Source organism: Homo sapiens, chromosome 1 (genome assembly GCF_000001405.40).
Source record: "Homo sapiens chromosome 1, GRCh38.p14 Primary Assembly".
Taxonomy (NCBI): Eukaryota; Metazoa; Chordata; class Mammalia; order Primates; family Hominidae; genus Homo; species Homo sapiens.
Window position 1 is genome coordinate 2,349,306 of NC_000001.11, and position 12,840 is coordinate 2,362,145.

General features: G+C 56.5%; 1 protein-coding gene and 1 pseudogene across 3 annotated transcripts in view; both read right to left on the minus strand.

Moving 5' to 3' along the window:
* Positions 1–12,840, minus strand: part of MORN1 (MORN repeat containing 1) — a 70,302-nt gene that overhangs the window by 28,053 nt on the left and 29,409 nt on the right. The window contains exons 9-11 of one of the 2 annotated variants that reach the window (NM_001301060.2): positions 9,287–9,410; positions 8,127–8,293; positions 5,850–6,159 (exon numbers count right to left, since the gene is read on the minus strand). In NM_001301060.2, coding sequence (NP_001287989.1) covers positions 6,143–6,159; positions 8,127–8,293; positions 9,287–9,410 — 308 coding nt within the window. In that variant the 3' untranslated portion in view covers positions 5,850–6,142. Of the gene's footprint in view, positions 1–5,849; positions 6,160–8,126; positions 8,294–9,286; positions 9,411–12,840 lie in introns of those variants that run through there. The other variant, NM_024848.3, reaches the window with a different exon arrangement.
* Positions 1,109–3,356, minus strand: LOC100129534 (small nuclear ribonucleoprotein polypeptide N pseudogene; annotated as a pseudogene). The gene has a single exon (NR_024489.1). The product of NR_024489.1 is annotated as a small nuclear ribonucleoprotein polypeptide N pseudogene (transcript).

Below are 12,840 nucleotides of genomic sequence, written 5' to 3' on the forward strand. Positions count from 1 at the left end.
ACCCCAAGGGAGGGGTGCTCCACCCGCCTGCCGACCAAAGAGCCCCTCAGCACCCACAAGGCTGCCTGAAGGCAGAGAATTAGCCTTGCTCCCAGTCCCGGCCCCTCTGACATCCCTGCTTAGTTTTAGCCACACGCACATCCCGAAGTCTGAGTTCATTTCCATTTTCATCTACTGTTCTGGCATTGGAAGCAACATGATATCTTTTTATACTGTATTTTTCTGGGACAGTCCCTCTATATGATGTGATTCCTAGAAAAAGAATTTATAGCACAAACATTCCTTTAAAAATATGGCTCTTTCATGCTACTCTGCCATAATTAACCATAGACAATTAATATTTAAAGCTGTTATCACCCCACGAGGCAATGAAATTCCCTGAAATTCTCTGCTGCACATTCAGACACTTTTACGGGCAAGATTGAATTAGTGGCAGAGGGCAACTTGATTTTTCAAATCATCTTACAATCACGATTGATTCTTCATAGATCCCATCTGATGAATACTCAAAACCATTTGTCCAACACGTGTAAGAGAAACCACTCAGATCCGTTGAAAATATTCACTGGGAGGGTTTTGTGCATGAAAAAAAAGAAGAAAAGAAAAGCAACCTGACGTCCTCTCACGGCTGCGGCCTCTCTACGTTCCCAAATCCAATTCACAGGGGATTGTTTGAGGCGCTGGGGCCCAGCCGGCCTGACAATGTACACCCGCCATGGGCAGCACCTGCACTCCAACTCAATGGCCCAAATTATTGGGCCCAGGCAGGCACCCCACTGACAACAAGGGACACAAAAGGGTTCTGCACTGCAAGCTGTGGGTGGGAATTACAAAAGGTTAAGAGACTAAATATAAAAATGCTTTGAATATAAAATCAATGTGCTTTGTTACTAAAATCTGGGTGCTGTAATTTAACCAAAATAGGGTTTAGAATATCTGGCAATAGTCCATGTCTTGGAAATCATCTTTTCTTCTCAACGAAATGCAAATCCTTATTTGAAAGTTAAAAACAACTAAACAACTGAAATATTTCATATCAACAAAATAATAAAATACTGTGATGTGCAATTATGTATCACTGACATTAGGCCTCCAGAAAGAGAAAGGATTTGCCCTCTTTGTCGATTTATTTGTACCAGTGAAAGGCAGGTTTCTGGAGGGTTTGTTTCTGGCTGCTCTCGGGTCTGGGAGGAAAGATGCCTGGGACCCCAAGTCCACGTCAGTTTGTGGGGGTTGAGTGTGAGCTCCTGGGAGGCCTGTCCCTGGGGTGGGGATGGCTGGGCTGAATTTCCAGCCTCTTCCATGGACAGTGGAGCGAGCCCTGTGCTCCCCACAATCTGGGCATGGGGGGCAGGGCTGGAGGTGCTCCTGGGAGACCCCAGTGGCCCTGGCCCAGCAGGAGGTGCCCTCCAGGGCCTTCTGCTTCCTTCAGTCCAGAGACCTCAGGGGTGGCACGGGGGTGGCACGGGCATGCTGGGCATCTGTGGCAGGTGTTTATCCGCCCCCGGCTGTCGCCCTGAGCTTCAGAACACGCTGAGACATTGGCAATTGCTTTAAAACGTGAGGCGGTGTGGCTTTGCTTTATTTCAGGTCTGACTCATGTCCGTGCTCTCTCGAAGCCTCCTTCTCTCCCTCCTCTCCCCAGGGCAGCCCGACCTCTGTGCCCCAAAGCCCAAAGGGTGTGAAGTCTGGAGGTGGCTGAGAACATTCCAGTTTGTGTTTGTGGCAGGTGGAGCAGGGTAGGAAGGCAGCATGTCCCACTGCTCGGGCTGGCCCAGTCCCCCATGCACGACCCCCGGGACGGAGGCCACGGTGAGGCCTGTTGGCTGTCCTGCCAGGTGAAGTCCAGCTGGGAACGGCGGGGGTGCTGCGTGAGCACAGCTGCCCAGGGTGGCCGGGTCAGAGCCCGTCTCCCACACTCCCCACACGCTCACCCCCAGCACTGGGCTTTTGCTGCAAAAGCGGCAGACTTAGAGTCTCGTGGAAATGGAGGGTGAGACTACAGGCTGTTTCGGGGTCACAGCAGGGCACGCCACCTGCTTCCTTATCAGGGATGCGAGGGTCCCTGGGCTCCTCCTGCAGGGGTGGCTGGAGACTCAGGTCCTTGCCCGCCAGCCCTCTCTGGGACTTTCGAGTCGGTTGGTGCACTTGCGGGGGCCCAGCAGGGGTACGTTCGTGACGGGCTATTTGGCAAAGACAGCCATTCTCCCCTTCTCCTCCGGTAAGAGTCTTTGCCAGCACATTGCGCTTCTTGTCTCTGTGTGGCCTGGTGTGGCCGGGCCGTGTAACCAAGCTCTGAGCAATGGCAGTGAGTGTGGCGCCCCCAGCAAGCTTCTTTAGAAGCGGAGGGGCCCGAAACCCGCTTTTCTTCACGTGCTGGTTGCTTCGCATTCTTTAGTTTCATCTTTCTGAACTCATCACAATCACAGGGGATCATATTCATATGCTTGTCAAAAGCCTTGAAGGTGCCAATGAAGACTCGGCCATCTTGTAGGATACGTCTCATTCTGTGGTCCGTGTGTGGCAGCATCTTGCTACTCTTGCCCACGGTCACGACTGCCGTTCCCCCAGATCCAATGTCCACAGTTAAACTTGGAGCTTCTGAACCTGGTATGAGGCCACCCACGGGCCCACCAATTGGGCTTCCCTCTGCTCGAGGGACACCAGTAGGCATGCCCCCTCCAGGAATGAGACCCCCTCCACCAGGAATTAGAGGTCCACCTCCCCTAGGAATGAGTCCACCAAGACCCTAGCATACTGTTGATCCATCTCAGTCACTTTTTCCCCTGCAATGTGTCTTGTGAAATTGTGTAGAGTGTTTGTGAGCTTTTTGTCCCCTGGTTCTGCATTAATAATAGCTAATAATAAATGTATAGAGCAATTAAAAAAAAAAGAAGAAGGGGAGGGTGCTTCTCCTTGCCACTTATGCTTCCCCCTTTCTCCTAGCTGGAATAGGGGCATGACGGCTAGAGCCTGTGCAGCCATCCAGGACCATGAGGTGGTGCAGGAAGATGACAGTGGCAGAATAGGCAACAGGAACTGGGGTCCCCAGTGGCTGGGGAGGGAGATCACCTCTCCCTCTTGAGCTCTTATGGGAGCGAGAAGTCACCGTGGCTGGGCTGAAGCCACTCTAGTGTTGTTTGCTAAAAGTAGCCACATCTCATCCTAAGCACATAGCCTGCTTGGAGGAAGCCAAATGTGGCAGGGCGTTGGGGAAGCCTGTGCCACGCAGCACAGGGTCAGCGGCGGGGAGCCACCTGAGGGGCTTGGTGAGAGCCGTCCTGCTCTCTGACTGTGGCCAGGCTTTGTCCCAGGTGGGTGTTCCTAGTGGGCATAGTCTGTGACTGCAGGGAGAGGGCTGCCCAGACCTGGAGCTTCCACCATGGATGTGCATGTCTCAGCCACTGGCTCAGGAGAGTCCTCGGAAGGGACTTCGGCGGGCAGGTACCCTGGAGATTTTCTGGCCCAAGTTTCTTTCAGGCCTCATGTTGGATTATCTTCTGGCCTGAAGCTCTCTGGCCTGATGTCTGTGCCCTGTAGGTGAGTGGCTGTCTGGGTAGGAGATCCTGCTTGGTGGCTGGAGGGCGTGTCACGGTCGGTGCCAGGCGGGCAGGTTTCTGCAGGTGCGGTCTCTGCAGCCACGGGGCAGGAGTCTCAAGAGACACCCTGCGTCCCATGGCCCCCAGCCCTCTCCCAGGTAAGCACAGAGGTGGAAACTTGAGGCTGGGACCAGCACAGCTGCCTGCGGTCCCAGGACGCACTGCAGGCCAGGCCAGAGGCTTCAACGGGGCCCACCTCTTTGCATGGGTCTGGCCAGAGGGAAGGACGCCTGTCTGGGAGCCAAGCAGGCAGCGCTGTGACTGGGCCAGGGACAAATGTGAGCAAGGGACTTCGGTTTCGTTTTTTTGAGAATGCGAAGTTCATGCTTACAAGGAAATGATTCCTAGTGTATTTTCCCTGGACACGCTGGACAGCCTCAGAACGCCACCCTTTTGTTTTCTTTCAGGATGATGGCTAAAGCCGGCCCCCCTGTCCCTGCTGGCTGGTTGTGAGGTCTTGCTTGATTCTAGGGCCTCCGTGCAGCTGGGCCTGAGCCTGTCTGGAACTGGCCCACCCTTCCAGGCCTGAGCAGGGGTTGCTGACTGAGAGAGGGTCTCCGGGAGCTGCCTCCGACCTCGGGGTGATGCTGGTGGGTCCAGGTAGACAGAGCTGTGTTCCTGACAGTGAGGCTGACACCTCTGGGCCTCCCGGCCAGGAATACTCTTGCTGAAGCCATGATTACTTTAGTTTTCTCCTACTTGGGGATGAATGCTGTCCTGGCTGGAACTGAAACTTAGAAATGATTCCGTTTCCTCTGCAGGGCTCCTGGCCGGAGTCCCCGATCCCCTAGGGGCCTGAGGGCTGTGGTGGGGGCCTGGCAGGGCTCCAGGTACCGAGAGAGGCCCTCTGCCCAGCACCCTGCTGTCCCGGGGCAGGGAGGCCACATGTCCCCACCATGTCCCAGGGTGCTGTGAAGGCCACATGTTGGGGGCAGACTTTCAATGGGAGATGGGAATTGGGAAGAAAAGTTTGTGTCAACTCCTGCATGGAATGAAGGGTAACAATTCATGGATCATGGTTGGGAAGCAGCAAGCCCGATAAATCAGTCCTAAATGGGATTACGGATTACGTAAAGAAGGGAAGATAAAGACTAAAGAGGCCGGGCATGGTGGCTCACGCCTGTGATCCCAGCACTTTGAGGGGCCAAGGCGAGCAGATCACGTGAGGTCAGGAGTTCGAGACCATCCTGGCCAACACGGCGAAACCCCATCTCTACTAAAAATACAAAAATTAGTCGGGCGAGGTGTTAGGGTTAGTCCTGCTGGGTCCTTGGCCCAGTCGCTGAGACAGGAGACAGACAAAGCAAGGACCCTGCCGACCGTGCTCTGGGGAAACCTGCCCAACCAGCCCCTTCTCGTGAGGGGTTATACAGTTTTAAGAAAAGGAAAGTAAAAGCAGCCTGTAATCCCAGCACGTTGGGAGGCTGAGGCGGGAGGACTGCTTGAACTCAGGAGTTTGAGACCAGCCTGGGCAACATGGCGAGGCCCTGTCTCTACAAAAAAATACAAAATATTAGCCGGGCACGGTGGCTCGTGCCTGTGGTTCCAGCTACTCCGGAGGCTGAGGTGGGAGGATCACCTGAGCCCGGGAGGTGGAGGCTGCGATGAGCCGAGATCACGCCACTGCACTCCAGCCTGGGTGACAGAAAGAAAGTAGAAGCCTACGGGAGTGCCCCTCCCTGACCCTGGCCTCCCCCTCCTCTTCTCAGTGTGGACTTGACTGCACCAGACCCCAGGCCACGCTCCTCTCCTCCGGGGCGCCCCCTGCACAGGCCTGGGTGGAGGCCAGCATGCGCACTCAGTCATCCGTCCTTGGGGTGGACGCTGCTGTTGCCCTCCCTTTATGGATGAGGAAACTGAGGCACAGAGAGGTTTAGCTTCACATCAGAGTGAAAGCAGCAGCCCAGCCTCCCAGGGTTGGTGTCGGATGCACCCGTGAGGCCCAGGCAGAGCTCGGCACCCAACTCCAAATGTCTGTGGTTCAAGCCCCAGCGGGTCTTACAAAAACAAAAGCACGTTCCTCTAGGTTTCCCAAGGGAAATATCTTTTGTGCTGGAGAATTTACGGCTGGACACTCACATCATCGTCAAGCCAGAAACAGCCTGAGCCGGGCTGAGAGTCGGGGGAGGCCCCCCAGGTAGGATCCGCCCCAGACTCAGGCAGTGGGGCCGGCGCGGGGGGCCCGCGCGGGGTAGGGTGCGATGCAGGCACGAGGCTGGTTTCAATCGAGACTTTGGCTCTGAAAATCTCTCCAAGTAGAAGGCATGGCGCCCAGTAAGTATTTTTATGCAGAAATATGAGAGCTATTCCACCTATGCGGTGTGGAACTGCTTCTATCAACTGAGGTGAAGGCAGACAAGGGGGCGCGGGCCGGGCCCCCCGTGGGCCTGTTGGCCTGAGGCTTGGCCGCCTTGGCCTCCCGTGGAGTGGCGCCGGGCCCTGCTGCCCCACCTGGGATGCCTGCATGCTCTTTTATATGATGAATGACGCCTGCGCTTGCTGGTCCTCTCACAGCTGTTGTCTGGAAGGAGACTCGTCTGATCCTAGAAGAGTGAGCTCCCTGCAAGCACAGACCCCCGAGGCTCTGAGGCTCTGGGGCTTCTAGCCACCAGCTGGGTGAGGTTTCTGGGGGCAGGGGCACGGGCATGGAGGTGGCCCTGGTGGCGGAGGCTCTTCCCAGGGCGGCCAGGGGCATTCCGCTGCCGCTTTCTCCCACTTCAGCCATGTGAGTCACGGAACCTTAGGGAGAACTCGGGGCCGAGTGACCGGCCAGGAGTGCTGGCCGCTGAGAGGGACTGCTGCAGACAGTGACCAGGAGGGTCACAGGCCACACAGTGCCCGGGAGAAAGGGCCCTGGCACAGCCTGCCAACCACGCCCCTCAGCCCTCAGCCCTGTCTCACTGCAGGAGAGCCCAGAGCTGAGCTGAGCTCACAAGGCAGTGTGGCTGGCCGGGCTGGGGTCTGCGGCACCCTTGGGACAGGCACACCCTGGGCAGGAAGATGTGAGGGAGGCTTTGGGGCCTGCTAGGCTGGCTTAAGGGACAGGAAAGGGGGGTCCAGGCCAAGGCTCACCGGACTCCGGCTTGGGAAGGGGCTGGCCCTGCCTGCTTGCCCCAGGGGCCTGGAGGGTTGGAGTTGGGGGATCACCCCAGTGCGGCAGCCAGGTCGGGGGATTGTGAGGACTCAGGGGCGGCAGGTGGGGCTCAGGTCTAGAGTAGAGAGGCCTTGGCACTTGGGGAGGCGGCGCGACGGCCGCCTGGTGGTGCCATCTGTGCAAATCCTGGGGAGAGGCCTTCAGGGGACTTGGGGCTGCATGTGGTGGGAAGGGCTGGGCAGGGACATGGCAGGGATTGAGCTCGCATCGGCCAAGGCAGGTGACAAGGGCTGGCATATGAGGCGCATTTGGGGATGACCAGGGACGTCTCGTCAAACCTGGGACATTTATCTGCATGTGGAAGGTGGTGGCACACAGCCCACCCCTGCTAAGTTGTGGATCTGGGCTCAGCACAGCCTCTCAGATCTGCCCTGTGCTCCTCAACCCAGGAACCTGCGGCCTGTGTCCTCCCCAAGCAGCACCTCAGGCTCAGATCCCAGCTTTGGGGACCGGGAACCTCAGCTGTCAGCTGGGCCCTCTTCAAAGGCCCCCAAACTCAAAGTGCCAGGCATTTGTCCAGTGGGGACCCCCACGCCCGACCCCCGTTTACTGAGCCTTGGGGTGCAGGGCTGTGGCAAGAAGGACCCGGTGGCCGGCAGCACCCCAGGGCCTCCCAACGCTGTCAAGACTGTTCCCTCAGTCCGGCACTGAGACGCACACTGTGCTGCGCGGGAGGGTTTGAATCGCACACACTGCTCACTGCACAGGAGGGTTTGATGTGCACTGCTCGCTGCACCGGAGGGATTAAGCTTTGATTCAACTCCATGAGTAACTCTGGAATGATCCCTGTGAAGTCTAGGCCGCACATTCTATGGAAGTGCAGTTCTCACTGGCCCCAGCCTTGGGGGGCAGAGTTGGGGGCTGGGGGGTTCTGCCGGAGCACCTGGGCCTCATCTCCACGAAGAAACGTGAGGCAACCCGTGCAGAAGCGGAGCAGCGGGAAACCCTGACCTCGAGAGAGCAGTCGGCGCCGCGGCCCCCAGAGCCATGGCCGGCGGCTGCTGTGAGGGCTCCCGGGCGGCAGGAGTGGCTGGGGCCGTGTCCAGGCTGGCCACTGGCCTCGAGGCCTGGGTGAGTCTGCTGCCCTCAGCCAAGTAGACCCAGAACTCTGCCCTGAGGACCCCACGAGGCTGCAGCCCCTGCCAGGCTCACGGCAGACGAACAATCGGCTTGAGCCTCCGCAGCCACCCGTGACTGCTTGTCTGGGGATGTGGGCTGCCCGGCCCTGCCTCCTTTCACCCACGCGTGATGACTGACCCTGGGTGCGGCTTGCTCCTGCTCTGGCCTGGTTCTGGGTCCCCATGACCCCACCCCCACCTTGACTGCTGGGCCTGGGCCCACCCACCCCCAACTGGTTTGTGAGCTCCACTTACCAAGCAGGCCACCAGGGGTGTCCTCCTGGCCATGGAGGGCACCCAAATGCAGCTCCAGGTCTCCCCTGGGCAGGGGCACGTCGGCTTCTGCCCCTCCCTTGGCAGCTCTGGGCCCCGGCACCCCAGCTGCGGGGCTGGACACAGGATAAGGGATGCATTCGAACCCACTGCAAAGGAATGGGGGCAGCTTGGCTCTACTCACCCCACACCAAACTAGGGTGCAGGCAGACAGCGTGGCCCACGCCCTGGACCCTGGGACTTGCCTACACTGAGTCCAGGGAGCGCTACTCAGCCTCTCTGGGAGGTCTCCTGCTGGGATGGGGCCAGTTGAGGCCCAGAGAGAAAAAAGACTCGCCAGGGAGAAGACAGCAGGTCTTGGCTTGAAGGAAGAGCTGCCTGCCGCCCCCATTATTATTTATGACAACTCCAGCAGCGTCACCTCTCGGGTGCGTTCTGACTTCACAGTGGGTCCAAGTTTACCCCAAATGTCAGACAGTCCTTAACTCAGGAGAAGGGCCGGTGGGAAAAGGGAGTGTGAGAGCTGTGGCGTCACACTCAGGTCTGGTCGCCTGGGGCACTGCTAAGTTCTGACTGTGAATGGTAAAATGCATGGATTTTCATGTTGCGGGGCTTAGAGTGAGGCCTCTTCCTGGAGTCCTGCAGCTCAGGCCTCTGTTTGCGTGTGGGTTTGTGCACACACTGGCCTGGTCCAGCGTGTTCCTGGGAGGCCTGGTGATGTGTGCGTGGGGAGTGGCGCCCAACTAGGCCTGGCTGGTAAGGGCCACTCCCCTCCTGGCTGCACCAAGAGAGGCCTGAGCATCTCTGCAGCCGACCCTCCTCCCAGGAGCACCCGAGGGCCGGAGTCCTGATGTCTCCACTCCAGACACGGACCCAGGCCCAGAGGCTTGGGGGCCGAGCGCTGGGGGAGACTAGGGGCTCTGACCAGGGGCTCGCGGTCTCAGAAGGCAAGAGGGGCCACAGCAGAGGGTCAGGTACTGAAATTCAAGGGAGCTGTTTCCTTAGAACAGACATCGAATATTTCATTTGTCATAACCAGGACTTAGCCCAGGTCTCTAGGGAAAAAAGGACAAGGAATTAATGTGACCTAAATGAACTCAAAACAAACTCAGAACTAACTCATTGGTGTCACACGTACTCACAATGGGGTCTGGATGAGTGTCTCTTGGTTGTCTCTGTCCACTTTGAAAAAGTTGACCTCAGAGTAGGCTGACAGCTGCACGTATCTGACGCCCGCTGAGATCTGCAGGACCCGGCCGCTCTCGCCTTCCAGGAGAGAGGAGCAGGCAGTGAACACTCACAGGCACCCAGAAGCGGGGTGCGCGGGCCCGGGGCAGGCTTCTGGGACGCTGTGTTTATAACTCAGCGGGGCCACATTTGCCAGTGGCTGTGACCCTGGTGGGCTGAGGACCCCGGCTTGCCCTCCGTGGGCTCTCTGCTCCTCTCCCATGCCCTGCAGAAGTTTCCCAGCCCTGGGATCTCTGGTGCTGGCCACACTCACCCCAATACCCCTGTACCCCTGTACCCCTTGCCTCAGGTCCTGGATCCTGAATCTCCAGCTCTAGGCCTCGGGGACCCCTGGCTCCACCCCTGCCCTAGCCTGGGGCTGGCACACTATGGGAAGGCATCTCCTTGCTGACCAGCCTCAGGGCTTCACCTCAGGCACACCCAGGCCTTGGGCTGGTCAGGGGCGTGGGGTGGCACTGGCACTCACAAGCTCCCGGGGCCTCCATGGTGGTCCTCATCACCCTGGCAGATAGCAGGCTCTCCGTGCCCATCTCCCACCTTGACCCGGGGGGATGGGCTCCCCCCTCCACTAAGGTACCCAGCACAGGGCCTGGCACACAGCTGGTGCCCACCAAGTGTCTGCTGAGTCAGCTGCTCCATCCTGCACCCCATTGCTCCTGGGAACCTTAGGCTGCAGGTGGCCCCCAGAGGACTGTGCCCAAGGAGTGGACACCACTGTCCCTCTGAGTTGCTGAGTGCAGATGCTCTGGGCCCCGCTGGGCAGGTGGAGGTGGCGGAGCTGGGTGTTCAGCCACACCCAGAAGACCCCACGTGGGAGTGCTGGATAGCAGGGAGGAGTGGCTTGGGCACCGTGGGTGGAGGCAAGATGGCTGTGCCGAGAGGAGCAAAGAGGAAGAGGAAGGAGGCCAGATGTGGTGGCTCACCCCTGTCATCCCAGCACTTTGGGAGGCCGAGGCGGGTGGATCTCCTGAGGTCAGGAGTTTGAGACCAGCCTGGCCAACATGGCGAAACCTGTCTCTACTAAAAATACAAAAAGTAGTCAAGTGTGGTGGCAGCACCTGCAATCATCCCAGCTCCTTGGAGGTTGAGGCAGGAGAATCGCTTGAACCCAGGAGGCGCAGGCTGCAGTGAGCCAGGATCATGCCACTGCACTCCAGCCAGGGCGACAGAGAGAGACTCCGTCTCAAAAAAAAAAAAAGGGAAACAAAAGAAGAAGAGGAAGGAGACCAGTCCGGTGCCCCAGAGTGGATGCCGAGCTTTGGGACGGGCTCTCAAGTGGGAAATGACTGGACTTCAGCAAACATGGGCCATTCGGACAAAGCAGGGCCCAGGCAGGCTCCCACTTGGGGTGGCCGTGGAGGGGTCGCCTCAGAGCCTGGGGCTACCCCCAATCATCACGGATGATGTATCACGCCCTGCACCCCTGGCACTAGGCACAGGTCCAGGGCCTGGTCATGCGGACTCTGAGGTCAAGGTCCTATGGAGGACAGGTTAACAGGAACCCAGCCTCTCATCTTACTAAGATCTGGCAAAGGAGACACGATTGGGAAAGCAAAGATGTCAAATGTAAAAACACTAGCGTAGCCTGCTGGACATCTGTATGGGGATGGAGTAACTGGGATCGATTGACACCCCTGGTTCCAACAACCAAGAAAGCCGACAAAGTGCAATGAAATTGATATCAGGATCCCGGACACCAGGCAACTCAGGACAGATCCTTGAAAGAAGGAAACAAACGGCGTGGACTCTATAATTGCCCTGGCTGCTGCCTTAAAAGAACGTGCAGGATGAGCTGCAGAGAGGGGAAACTGAGGCAGAGCCCAACAAACCCCTCAGTTGAGGAAAATGAGCAGAGAATCTGGGGAACAAGGCACACAGTCAGAGTTTTAAAATTCAAAGGGCAGAGCAGCGAAGAGGAGAGAGAGGACCCTGAGTAGAGGGAGGACCCTGAGTAGAGGGAGGACCCTGCAGCCCGCAGGAGGCCCTGGAGTGTTCAGCAGAGCACCATTCAGCACACCTGGGACAAAACTCCACGAGGCTGGGGAAGAACCGTCTGAAGAATTAAGAGGGACCAGGACCTGGGCCTCACACAGGACTGGGCATGGTGCCTGTTCTCCTCAGCCAGGCTGGAAAAACTCAGAGGTCACAGGAAGCGGGGGCAAGCTTTCAGAAGGGTCTTGCCACAGTCATGGGGAACCATTGGTGTGAGGCAGACGGGTCTCCAGCAGACCTGTCTAACAAATCATAAAAGCAAGACCCAAGAGGATTAAACTGTCTCCAAGTCACTGAACTGTGCCCCAGAACAAAGCTCAAGAATATTTATAGGAATACAAAAATATCCAATACCCAACAAGGTAAAATTTACAATGTCTGGCATCCAATCAAAGATTATGAGGCATGCAAAGAATGCAGGAAAGTATGGCCCATAACAAGGAGAAAAATCCATCTACTGAAACCGGTCCAAAACTGACACGGATGTTAGAATCAGCAGTAGAGGACATTCAAGCATGGTGATCATAACTGTATTCCATGTTCCAAAGTTAAATAGACACACAGAAGATATAAACAAGAACAAAGAGCCGGGCGCAGTGACTCACACCCGTAATCCCAGCACTTTGGGAGGCCAAGGTTGGCAGATCACCTGAGGTCAGGAGTTTGAGACCAGCCTGGCCAACATGTCAAAACCCCGTCTCTACTAAAAATACAAAAAATTAGCTGGGTGTGGTGGCACGTGTCTGTCATCCCAGCTACTTGGGAGGCTGAGGCAGGAGAATCATTTGAACCTGGGAGGTGGAGGTTGCAGTGAGCCGAGATTGTACTACTGCACTCCAGCCTGGGAGACAGAGTGAGACTGTCTCAAAAAATTAACAAATAAATAAATAAATAAGAAAAAAGAACAAAGTCAAACTTCTGGAGATGAAAATTATAATGTATGAGATAAAAAATATGCTGGATGTGATTCACAACAGGTTAAACATCGCAGAAGAAAAGATTTATGAACCTGGAAATGCAGTTGACCCTTGGCCAACGTGGGGATGAGGGCCGCTGACCCTCCATGCGGCTGAACATCCACATGTCAATTCCGACTCCCCACAGCTTTAATAGCACACTGTTGACCAGAAGCCTTACTGATAACAGAAACTGTTGATTAACACATATTGTGTATGTTATATCTATTAAACACTGTATTCTTATAATAAAGTAAGCTAGAAAAAAGAAAATGTTATTAAGAAAATCATAGTAAAAGAAAACAAGTCTGGGCACAGTGGCTCACGCCTGTAATCCCAGCACCTTGGGAGGCTGAGGCAGGCGGATCACAAGGTCAGGAGTTTGAGACCGCCCTGGCCAATATGGTGAAACCCCGTCTCTACTAAAAATACAAATATCAGCCGGGCGTGGTGGCGGGTGCCTGTAGTCCCAGCTACTCGGGAGGCTGAGGCAGGAGAAT